The 12,181-nt window shown below is 51.3% G+C and overlaps 1 protein-coding gene across 19 annotated transcripts in view, besides 3 other annotated features; it reads right to left on the reverse strand.

Moving 5' to 3' along the window:
• Positions 1-12,181, reverse strand: part of SCARB1 (scavenger receptor class B member 1) — an 87,009-nt gene that overhangs the window by 73,998 nt on the left and 830 nt on the right. The gene's annotated exons all lie outside the window — the stretch shown is intronic.
• Positions 6,671-6,800: an enhancer, noted in NCBI's record as "active region_7305". NCBI's record gives its function as "activates an Ori minimal core promoter by ATAC-STARR-seq in GM12878 lymphoblastoid cells {active_cell/tissue: GM12878}" and the evidence as "EXISTENCE:reporter gene assay evidence [ECO:0000049][PMID:35858748]".
• Positions 10,839-11,365: an enhancer, noted in NCBI's record as "H3K4me1 hESC enhancer chr12:125346238-125346764 (GRCh37/hg19 assembly coordinates)". NCBI's record gives its function as "activates a minimal SCP1, AML or CMV promoter by ChIP-STARR-seq in naive H9 embryonic stem cells {active_cell/tissue: H9 hESC(naive)}" and the evidence as "EXISTENCE:reporter gene assay evidence [ECO:0000049][PMID:30033119]".
• Positions 11,189-11,318: a silencer, noted in NCBI's record as "silent region_5066". NCBI's record gives its function as "represses an Ori minimal core promoter by ATAC-STARR-seq in GM12878 lymphoblastoid cells {active_cell/tissue: GM12878}" and the evidence as "EXISTENCE:reporter gene assay evidence [ECO:0000049][PMID:35858748]".

Consider the following 12,181-nt stretch of genomic DNA (forward strand, 5'->3'; position numbering starts at 1 on the left):
GGGGCTCAGCCCCATTTTTGCTGCCTATGGCCGCCTCTTCCCCCGACAACAGCCCCTCCTTTTTGCCTTTTGGGAACCACCCTACTCCTACCTGAGTCTCTGTGGGCAAGAACTACTTCCCTCCCTGGCTCCAAATGGGCAGGCGACCCAAGGCTGACCAATCACAGCAGTCCATTACTCGAGCCACAGCAATTGGTCCAAGGATGCACATGTGATCCCAGCTCAGCCAATCACAGCCAATGAGCATTGACTCCATAAGTTGTGCCAGCCACTGAGAAAATTCTTTAATTCTCCTTCAATATCCCTCAGGAAGGTTCCCTTCCAAGAGCTTCTGGGAATTCCAAAGCAGTCAGTTTCTCCCTGACGTGGTGCAGATGCCATTTATTTTCTAAGCGTCAGAGGAAGCCACTGGCAAGTGAGACTGGGGCGTACATATAAAAACATAGGAATCTAATTCTAGAATCGCATTCAGCCTGTCCAGATGCCCTGTCACGGGACCCAGGAAGAACAGCAGGGTCACAAGAAACTCACTCCCTACATTGACACTAACCAAGTCTACTTATGAGGGTCACTGCTGTTTTCCTTTTTTTTTCTAATTGAATGCATGTAGATGATTTTGCATGAATGACATGCTTATGGGCCACACCTCCACATTCCTGCACGGAGCAAAATCACAAGCAGAATGGACCTCGGTCTCCTGACTCAGCCTCGCACAGTCCTGCTAATGAGAACAAAGTGAAACATAAAGGATTCCATTTTTTTTTTTTTTTTTTTGAGATGGAGTCTCACTGTCACCTAGGCTGAAGTGCAGTGGCGCGATCTCAGCTCACTGCAACCTCCACCTCCCGAGTTCAAGCAGTCCTCCGCCTCAGCCTTCCAAGTAGCTGGGACTACAGGTGTGTGCCACCATGCCCAGCTAATTTTTGTGTTTTTAGTAGAGATGGGGTTTCACCATGTTGGCCAGGCTGGTCTCGAACTCCTGACTTCAAGTGATCCACCCACCTCAGCCTCCTAAAGTGCCGGGATTACAGGCATGACACCTGTAATCCTAACACTTTAGGAATAATGTAATAATGGCGCCCGGCCTATAAATGGTTCCATTCTAAATAATGAACCTTGGCTTAAATGCTCAGGGAGAGAAACACTCCCAGCCCCAGCCCCATCCAAGACACCTGATGGGACCAAGATGCCAACAGGAGGATCCCTGCTTCCTCCTGGAGGCAGGAGGTGGCCCCAGAAACAGCCTCCACGCTTCCTGTGGCCCTTCCACCATGACAGGTGCTGTCTCTTTACCCACCATCCACAGACAGCCCCGATGACATCTTTATACACCCGCATCCCTTCCTTCTGGCTACTCCACCTTCATGCTGGGGCAGGAAAGGGGTCAATCAAAAGCCACCAAAGCTCAGACAGGGAAACAGCCCAGCACTGGAACCAGGCAGAAGTCATTGAAATCCAGATGGAGTGTGTTAAGACTCAGGCCTACAATCTGTGGATGCATCCCAGGGACCCAGGCTTTGGGGTGTTCCCCAGGGCGTATGACCTCCCTTACCCCTCGCTACAGCCCGAGGAGGGAGGCCCGGAGAAACACGCCCGGCAGGGTTATGCAACTCACCCACAGCCACAGAGACAGGAAGTGCAAGAGCCACTGCTGAACTCAGGGAGTCTGGTTCCAAAGTCCACGCTGCGGAGGACCCCCACTGGGGCCTCTCTGCCTTAGCCCAAGGTCCTACGCTAGGTGGTTCTCTGCCCTGGACAAGGGTCTCCAACTATGGAATGCAGCCATGAACGAGACAGATAAAGTCTCTGTCCTCATGGAACTCACACAAGTGGATGAGATAATTTCAGAGACTATTAAGGGCTCAGAAGGGAATAGCATGGTGTGGTTATAACACAGATGGCGCAAGCCAGGCGCGGTGGCTCATGCCTGTAATCCAAGCACTTTGGGAAGCTAAGACAGGTGGATCACCTGAGGTCAGGAGTTCGAGACCAGCCTGGCTAACATGGTGAGACCCCATCTCTACTAAAAATACCAAATTAGCTGGGCATAGTGGTGCACGCCTGTAATCCCAGCTACTCAAGAGGCAAGGCTGGAGAGTCGTTTGAACCGGGGAGGAGGAGGTTGCAGTGAGCCGAGATGGGGCCATTGCCCTCCAGCTGAAAAACCACACAGATGGCACAGACAGTGGACGTGGGGGGCAACTGTCCATTGGGTGGGGTGGGCAATCACGGGGTGTCTTCTTCAAAAGGTTACATTTAAGCTTCAAAAGGTTACATTTAAACATAAAAGAGGAACCAAGCATAAGAGCCAGGGAGACAAAAAGACGGTCCAGGCAGAAAGAAAAGCACTTCCAAAGGCCCTGAGGCAGGACAGCATGTGACACGTTGGAGGAAAAGGAAGGCCTGTGAGGTTGCAGTGGGGTGAGAATGCTGAGTTGAGATGGGCAGGGCCCACGAAAATGAGGCTCACAGCTTTGATACCAAATGCAGGAAGATTTTATTCAGCTTCTTGAAATGATCCAGTTTGCATAGTTTTGTTTTTTTTTTTTTTTTTTTTGGGAGACGGAGTCTCGCTCTGTCACCCAGGCTGGAGTGCAATGGTGCAATCTCGGCTCACTGCAACCTCCACCTCCCGGGTTCAAACAATTCTCCTGCCTCAACCTCCCGAGTAGCTGGAATTACAGGCACATGCCACCACGCCTGGCTAATTTTTGTATTTTTAGTAGAGATGAGGTTTCACCATGTTGGCCAGGCTGGTCTTGAACTCCTGACCTCAGGTGACCCACCCACTTCGGCCTCCCAAAGTGCTGGGATTACAGGCATGAGCCACTGTGCCCGGCCCAATTTGCATGTTTTAAAGAGCATCCTGGCTTTGATGGGGAGAAGTGACAACAGTGTGGTATAAATCAGCAGAGCAAACAGCCCCATGATGACACTCCAGCATCCACTGGGAAACAACGGTGGCAGCTCGGTCTGGGGCGACGGCCACGGCAGGTGGAGGAGTAGGCCCCATTGCCCTGCACAGGACCACAACCTGCCACTGGTCACGAACCATCCTGTGAAACAACCCTTGTCTTTTAAACATCCTTTCAATAAATATTTGAGAACCTGCGATTATGTGCTAGGCATCGTTCCAGGGGCTTGGGTCACGGCAACGAATAACACAAAGGTCCCTGCCCTCACAGTCCGACATTCTCATGGGGAGAAATAGACAATAAACAATCAACATGATACCCAGGGAAGTTCCAGGGTATCTACAGTGGCTGACAGGTCTAAGCAGAGCGGGTAAGGAGGGCTGGCAGCACAGGGGGACAAGGGGGAACCTGCATGATGCACAAACGGAATCAGGGGAGGGTCTCCGTGAGCAAGTGAGAGCTGAACAGAGACCTACGGGAGATGAGAGGGCTTGTGTCAGGAGAGCTAAGGCGATTGGGCCCATGGGGCTGAGGAATGGCCAGGAGGCCATTGTGCAAGGGAAAAGGGAATGCGGACGTCGCCAGAAAAGTGGCAGGGGTGGATGGCACAGGCCCTGGGCCAGGTTAGGACCTGGCTGTGACTCCTAGGGGACGGGTCTGGCCATGTCAGGGCTTTGAGGGGAGGAGGTGCTAAGTGCAATCTTGATGGGCTCCCATGGCTGCTTATTGAGAAACCCCACTGGGGAGCAAGGATGAGCACAGGGAGGCCAGTGAGGAGGCGGATGCAGGAATCTGGGGGAGAGGTGATGGTGCCTTGGACCAGAGGTGATGGCGCCTCGGGCGTGGTGAGAAGTAGTTGGAATCTGGGTATATTTAGATGATGAAGCTAGAAAACTTTCTGACGGGTTCTCTGAGGGAAGTGGAGAGAACAGAGTCAAGGCTGAGTGCAAGATGTTGGCCCGGGCAACTGGAAGATGGGGGGGCTATGATGGAGTGGGAAGCTGGTGGGAGCCACAGGTGTGGCCGAGGGTGATGAGGAGCCAGCCGGGGCGAGCGTGAGCTGCCTTTGACCCCGAGTTGAGATACGGACTCTGCTGTTGGACACTCGGGGGTGGGGTTCAGGGGAAAGGTCTGGGCCCAGGGATACCAATTTGGGAGTGGTCAGGACAGAGATGCCATTCAGGCGCAAGGCTGGAGGAGCCCACCCCAGGGATGAGGGATGAGGACACACAGAAAGGATGCCTGGAGCTCCACCAGCAGGAGGCAGGAGGCCAGGGAGATGAGGAGGCATCAGCAGGCAAGAAGACAGAGCAGCCAGGAAGGTGGGAGGAAAACCCAGAGAATGGAGATTTAAAGCGCCTCAAGGGTCCTTCTAGAAGCTTCCAGAGAAGGTGTAAGGAACTTCACCCAAAATGCCAGGAAGTGAACAAGGTCAGGCCCCTCCCGTTCCTTCCCCCTCCCCAGCACAGGCAATCAGTGAACAGGAAGAAACAGTGGAGTGGAGGGAAAGAAAACAAGAAAATTAAGACGGCCAGGCCTTGGGCCATGAGGCTTCCTGGAACCCGGGACCTGGGGAGCTTCTGAGCAGGCGGAGTGTCTCCATATCTCACGCAGGCTTTGGGAGGAAAATCGCCCCCAACACCCACAGGGAGCCAGCCCCTGGGCCCTTTAAGGCTTCAAAGTCAAGAACGCAGCTTTTTGTGTTGTTTTTGTTTCTCTTTGCAAGACAGCTCCAGCCTGGCCACTTGTGGGCCAGCAGAGCTCAAGGTCATGTCCAAACAGGGGGAGGGAGACGAGGTAAATAAAAGGGATTCTCTTTTTGTTTTGCGTTTTTGATTTTTGACTGAGCCCTAGCGTTGAATTCTCCGCACAATTAATGTGTCTGTGGTGTCGGAGCTGCCAGCGCCTCCTGGAGCAGAAGGCCTGGACCGAACTCTCCTCCACAGAATCCTCCAGGCCCAAGATTTAAACCACAAACTCTCTGGGTTCAGCCTTGGGGGGTGTGGCTTATGGCCCCAGGGGCCTCTCTTTTGCTGACCACAGACATGGAATCACCCTCTGGACACTAAGGAACCTCCATGCAGGACCCACGAATGACAGTGCCAACAAGCCTGCAGCAAATCGCCACTGGGGCCAAGACTCATCCAGGAAAAACACCTTCATGGAGCAAGCCCTCCATGGGGACTCACTTCCATCCCATTTGCTAGAAACCAAAGGCCAGGGTAAGGCGATTCCAGGTGGCTGAGCTTCGCCACGTTCTAGTTAATCAGGGTGCATCTCCCGGCGGAGGCACAGCAAGTACCGGCCATTCCGGGAAGGGACAGGGAATGTTTCCTGGAAACCCCAGGTGCTGGGCCTGGCCCCAGAAAGGCCAACCACAGCGGGACACATCAACATGTATGTGCAGACACATCAACACACAAGGACATGCATAAACACGTGTGTTCATGTGTGTCCATTTGCATGTACAGACACACCATGTGTGCCTGTGTCAACATATGTAGGCACACATCAACACAGGTGTCTGCATACACATCATCACGTCGTCACACATCAAGGCAGGTGTGTGCATGCCTACACAGGTGTGTGTGTCACTGTTTTCACCATCAGCACTTGTGTACACACACCAACACACGTGTGTGCAAACACACACACACTCACGAAGACAGGGAGAGGCAAATCTACCAGGAGCAAATAAACTAGACTCACACAAACTAAAAATAGCCCATGTTTTTCAGCCGTCGCCAGGGAGTAAGTTGAAGCTGTCTCTCACATGCTAGAAGGAGTAGGAAGTTCAATGGCAGGAAAGAGGAAGAAAAACAAAACAGAATTGGCACACACCTGTGATCCAAGCTGTCCTCGAGGAGCCCCCTCCCCACCTGTGCCCAGTGATCAGTTCTAGGGCTTTGCCCCACATGTCCAAACAAGGGGGTCCTACAGGAAACGCCCGGTAGGTGGAGACACTGGGCCTCCCCCCCAGGTTCCGCAGGGGGGCTGATAAAGGCGCAGAGCGGGCGGCCCCTGCAGGATGGGTGGGAGTCCAGCCCCCGGGGTCACTGGGAGCCCTGGGCTAGGAACAGGTGGCCTCCCCGGGAGCCTCACTTGGTGCCTTTGATTGGAGAACATGTCCCTGGTCTCAGACTACCCCCGGAAGGGAGAGGCCAGGGTGCACTCTGCACCAGCAAAGTTTGGCGGGGTGATGATTAGGACAAAGCCTCGAAGGGACCCTGCTGTTCCCTGGTGATGCACAGAAAAGGAAGGGGCAGCCCAGGAAGAGAATATAAGAAGGGCACCCCCCGCCGCCCGCCTTAAGCATGCAGTCGACCTGCTCAGACACACGGAGAACCGGGAGGACGCAGTGCGCAGAGGCCACCGGGACCAGCTGTGGAGTCGGCCCCCAGACTTGAAATCCTGATTCAACCGCTTGGAGCTATGTGACATGGGGCAAGTTACTTTCCGCCTCTGTGCATCCATTTCCCTCAATAAAATAAGACACAATAGTACCTATTTTAGATACTAAAATGAATAATGCACATAAACACTTGGAACAGTATCCGGCCACAACGAGTGCCCATTGACTGTTATCTCCCATCAACCCCCATCTTTTAACTGATTGACAAAGATTTCCCAAAAGGCACAAACTCAGGGACAGCCGGTGACATCCCTGGCTGGCCCTGGTGCCGGGGCTCCCCAAGGCTCACTGTGTGGCTCTGGCTGAGGGAGGCAGGGGTGAGCTAAAGAGCCTGAGGCCAGGGCTGGGGGTCGCGCCCGCCTCATTCATTCTGTAACCTGACTGGTGTTGAAGGGGTGGCAAGGAGCTCAGGCGCTGCTATGGCCCTCGGGGACGCTGCAGTGACAGTGATGGGAAAGCCCCTGCCTCAGCAGATACAGGGGTATCAGGAAAAAAGCATGCAGGCAAAGATGACCGAAGGTTTTTGCCTCTACCCCAGGGGAAACAAAAGGAGGTGCCGTTTATTGAGACAGGGATCATAGGTGGGGGAAGCCCAGCAGCAGGACAAGGCAACCGAGGTTGAGTCCATCTAGAAAACCAACTTAAAGACAGCAGAGGGGACCCAGGTTCTCTCCTGGACATGGAAGAAGGCCATGAGGCCTATCATTGAAGATGGTGGTCTTGGAAGATGACCCCTTCCCTGCAGCCCAGCAGTAGTGAGGGGCCTCTCCCCACGTCCACCAGCTGGGCCTTCCTTGGAGGACCAGAGACATACGGGAACTTGGATGTGTGCCCCCCAGGACCTGAACCAGGCCTTCGTTACTCACCCACATACCTGAGCACAGCTGCATGCCAGGCTCAGATCCAGGGAATGGGAGCAAGAGTCCCCATTCTCATGGCATCTGCCTCTGGGACAGACAGACACCTTCACACACACACACACGTGCACACATGCACGCACACACATACACTAGCGAGGTCACTTGGGGCAAATTACTCTCTTCAGCTTGTCTCCTTAACGGACACTGAAGACAATAAATCATATGTCACGGCCCTCTGCAGGGACTAAATGAGACAATTTTCACAAAGGTGCTTTGAACCCTGCCTGGTGCACAGTAAGCTGCCCATGAATGGATGCCATGAAGTTCACAATCGCGGCCCTTAGTGTGCCTGTCCAAACACCTCTCTCCAATCCTACCCACTGGCAGAAGGGAAAAGAAATGAGTTGCGCTTCCCCAAAGCCTCTCCAAGCAACCTCGACCACAGGGCCCCTTTGCAGTGTGCCTCATCGGTCTGTGTGGCGCATTCATCTGGCCAGTCTTTGAGGAAAACTATGTATCTGTTCATTCGTAATTTTTTTTTTAAGAGATGGGATTTTGGCCGGGCGCGGTGGCTCACACCTGTAATCCCAGCACTTTGGGAGGCCGAGACGGGCGGATCACGAGGTCAGGAGATTGAGACCATCCTGGCTAAAACAGTGAAACCCCGTCTCCACTAAAAATACAAAAAACTAGGTGGGTGCGGTGGCGGGCGCCTGTAGTCCCAGCTACTCAGGAGGCTGAGGCAGGAGAATGGCGTGAACCCGGAAGGTGGAGCTTGCAGTGAGCCGAGATCGCACCACTGCACTCCAGCCTGGGCGACAGAGCCAGACTCCGTCTCAAAAAAAAAAAAAAGAGATGGGATTTCACTTTGTTGCCCAGGTTGGAGTACAGTGGCACAAACACAGCTCACTGCAGCCTCGAGCTCCTGGGCTCAAGATATCCTCCCACCTCAGCCTCTCAAGTAGCTAGGACTATAGGTGCATGCCACCATGCACCAGCTTAGTTTTGTTGTTGTTTTGTTTTGTAGAGATGGGGGTCTCACTATGTTGCCCACGCTAGTCTTAAACTCAGGGCTTCAAGTGACCCTCCCACCTCAGCCCCATAAAGTGCTGGGATCGCAAGTTTGAGCCACCATGCTTGGCCTTGTAATTTTTAATCAAACACGTAGCATGTGGATACATTTTCTCTGTTAAAACAAAAATAATGGCCGGGCATGGTGGCTCACGCCTGTAATTCCAGCACTTTGGGAGGCCGAGAGGGGAAGATCACAAGGTCAGGAGATCAAGACCATCCCGGCTAACACGGTGAAACCCCATCTCTACTAAAAATACAAAAAAAAAATTAGCTGGGTGTGGTGGCAGGCACCTGCAGTCCCAGCTCCTCAGGAGGCTGAGGCAGGAGAATGGTGTGAACCCAGGAGGCAGAGGCTGCAGTGAGCCGAGATCGTGCCACTGCACTCCAGCCTGGGCGACAGAGCGAGACTCCATCTCAAAAAAGAAAAAAAAAAATAGCATTACAGATAAAGTATTAGGTTTCCTTTGGCCACACCCCCAGTGTCCTGCCTTCTCTCATTAGAGTAGCCACTTCTGTTAGTCTCACCTTTTCCCAAACTTTAACATATTCTAATATTAAGCCATTGAAAATAATGGCAGGGCGCGGTGGTTCACACCTATCATCCCAGTGTTTTGGAAGGCCAAGGCAGAAGGATCACTTAAGGCCAGGAGTTCGAGACCAGCCTGGGTAACATAGTGAGACCTTGTCTCTACGAAAATAAAAATAAAAATGGAAAGAAAATATAGAATATTGTTTGGTGGGTTTTTTTTAAACATAAATAGCACCAGAGCTTTTTTCAATTAGTAATGTGTTTTTATGGCCTACCCATGCTGAGACATATTTCTAAGTTCCTTCATTTTTTTTTTTTTTTTTTTGAGATGGAGTCTCACTCTATTACGCAGGCTGGAGGGCAGTGGCGTGATCTCAGTTCACTGCAACCTCAGCCTTCCAGGTTCAAGCTATTCTCCTGCTTCAGCGTCCCGAATAGCTGGGATTACAGGCGTGCACCACCATGTCCAGCTAGTTTTTGTATTTTTTAGTAGAGACAGGGTTTAGCCATGTTGGCCAGGCTGGTCTCAAACTCCTGACCTCAGGTGATCCGGTGAATAATGAAGACATGGTTCAGATCCCTGGGGGCACACATCCAAGTTCTGTGAAAAGGACATAGACATGAAATGTGGACAAGAAGCCATTCTTAAGAAATTCAGTCTAAAGAAGCAGGCCAAAGGGAAAAAGATGTCAACTAGTGTGACAATATCCACATCTTCACCCCAGCTCATCATTGAAGACAGCAGCCTCGGAAGATGAGCATCCCTTTTTTGCAGCCCAGCTGCAGTGAGGGGCCTCTCCCCCATGTCCACCAGCTGGGCCTTCCTTGGAGGACCAGAGACACACGGGAACTTGGCTACCAAAAAATGGTAATGATAAATCAGTAATTACCAGTGATGGCAGAGATAGGGGAAGTAGCACAGTCCCATACCTTGTGGGTGGATGCAGCAACAGAGCTGTGCAGAAGGGCAATTTGGCCGTAATCATCAAAACTCAAACTGAGCACACCTGCTCCCAAGGCCCCACTTCTAGAAATCCACCCTATGGAAATGTTCATGAACCACACGAAGAGGGATGTGTCGGGATATCGCTGTCATTTGTGACAGAGAAAATGATCAGTCAATGGAGAAACAGGTAAACAAGTCTATAACCATTCAAAGGAATACCAGCAGTGATGAAGGAAAACGCGGGGTAGACTTATTGCTGAGACATGGAAAATTTTTCAGCTGGTATCTTTGAATTGAAAAACAAATTGCAAGATAATTATACATGTTCAAGTTCACCTACACTTAGTTCAAGTTATGTAAAATATATATTAATATGTATACATACAGGCTCCTGGTACACAGAAAAGGGTCTAGAAAGATCCACATCAATGATGGTGATAATAGCTCAGGAGGGGAATAAAATGGGGGAAACTTTCTCTCTTTTCCTCCATTTGAACTTTTTTTTACGAGCAAGTATTCATATATTTTATATAAAGTCGTCCCTCAATGTCAGAGGGGAATTGGTTTCAGGACCCCCATAGATACCAAGATCTGCAGATGCTCAAGTCCCCGACATAAAATGCTGTGGTATTTGCATATCACCTATGCGCATCCTCCCGTATTCTTTAAATCATCTCTAGGTTACTTATAATACCTAATACGATGTAAATGCTATGTCAATAGTTGTTATACAGTATTGTTTTTATGTCTTTTTTTAGTTGTATTGTTATTTTGGGGGGATTTTTTCTGAAAACTTTTCATCTGCAGTTGATTGAATCCACGGATGCAGAACCTGCAGACACAGAGGGCCAACTGTAGGGACTTCTGTTGTTAACCAAAAAGCACATTAAAAAAAAAAAATAAAAGCACAAGGCCTCCCATTCAAGTTGCACACAGACTCATGTAGCCAAAGAAAACACCAGCGGGCAGTCCCTGCTTATGCGTGTGTCTCACCCGCCTGGTCCCCTGAACACAGGCTCTCTTCTTCCATGCTAAGGCACTTGGCCGCTGCTCCAGCCTGGGCGGTTCCAGAAGTGGCCGTCTTGGGCTGGGCGTGTCTTCCTGCCTTCACACCACTCGGCCCCAAACCAATCGCCTTTGGGATATCCACAGAAGGATGCTGGGAGGCTCCTGTTCAACTTTAAGCCAGATGCTCCTAGCTCCAGGACAATTGAGGACAATGTGGTTTTCCTCTTTAGAAGCCCAGGAGAGGAGTGGGGAAATTTGGTGGTGCATGCATGTGTGGTGCACACACACACACACACATCCTACTGACATACTTAACCTGATGACATCCTGAGAAAGAAAACACCTTGAAATAAGCCCCCGAATAACTGAGTTGGCAAGACTCTTTACCTGGCATAAGTCCCCACACTCCCATAGCAAGAGACCAGGTGCTCACTCACAGCACAGGGTCACATGCTTGAACTGCCTGAGTGATAGCCCCTCTAGGGACCCTGCATACACACAGTGGGGTCCTGGCACTGCAGCAGCCACAAGGCTGTCACTGACACACACGTTTCAGTATGAGTAGGCCACAGAAAAATAAAGCTCCCTCAGTGTAACAGAGAAAGCCTCTGAGCTGTCATGGGGGAGAAGAGGCCATTCTGCTGATTTTCCTGCCATCCCCAGAGACAGTGTCACCATCCACCGGGACCTCTTTGCAGTCAGATTACAGGCTTTGGCGGGACAAGATTTGAAAAATCAAAAATAGACACAACGTGGCTAAGATGCCCTAGACAACTGCTCACCCAGAGACCTTGAGAGAGACCATATGTTGCTCCATCTTTAAGGCCAGCTAGCTGGGTCCCAAGAAGTGTGGCAGCCAGATCTAAGCAGATCCTTCATTCATTCACTCATTCATTCGCTCTGTGAATGAGGGAACAGACATGAAATGTGGACAAGGAACCATTCTTAAGAAACCCAGTCCAAAGAGGCAGGCCAAGGGGAAAAGACGTCCATTAGAGTGACAATGTCCACATCTTCACCCCAGCTCTGCATCTGGCTAGAACTTTGATAAGAGTGAGCCCCAGTTTCCCCTCCCCGCCACTGCATGTGTGGGTTCCCAGGGCTTCAAAACTCTAAATGGCTTTTAGTTCAAATGTGATACTCTGCAATCTCCCAGCCCTTCCCTAACTCCAGGCTCATTCAAACAGGCCACCCAGGCACCCAGGGCAGAGTCTGTCCGTCTGCAGACCAGCTGACCGCCTAATCTGTCTCCCTGGTTGAAAGGGCAATGGTATGCAAAGTTAGGATCAGAGGAAAGACCTAAGGCTGCGTGCACTCAGAGGACCTTGGGCTGCTGCCTGCCTCTGCATGAATCTGGGGAGAAAAGCGGCTTATAGTTTCCAGACTGAATCATGGAGGCAGTGAGCAGGGAGAACAGAGTCGCGCATTCTGCCTCTG

The sequence above is a fragment of the Homo sapiens genome, chromosome 12 (genome assembly GCF_000001405.40).
Source record: "Homo sapiens chromosome 12, GRCh38.p14 Primary Assembly".
Taxonomy (NCBI): Eukaryota; Metazoa; Chordata; class Mammalia; order Primates; family Hominidae; genus Homo; species Homo sapiens.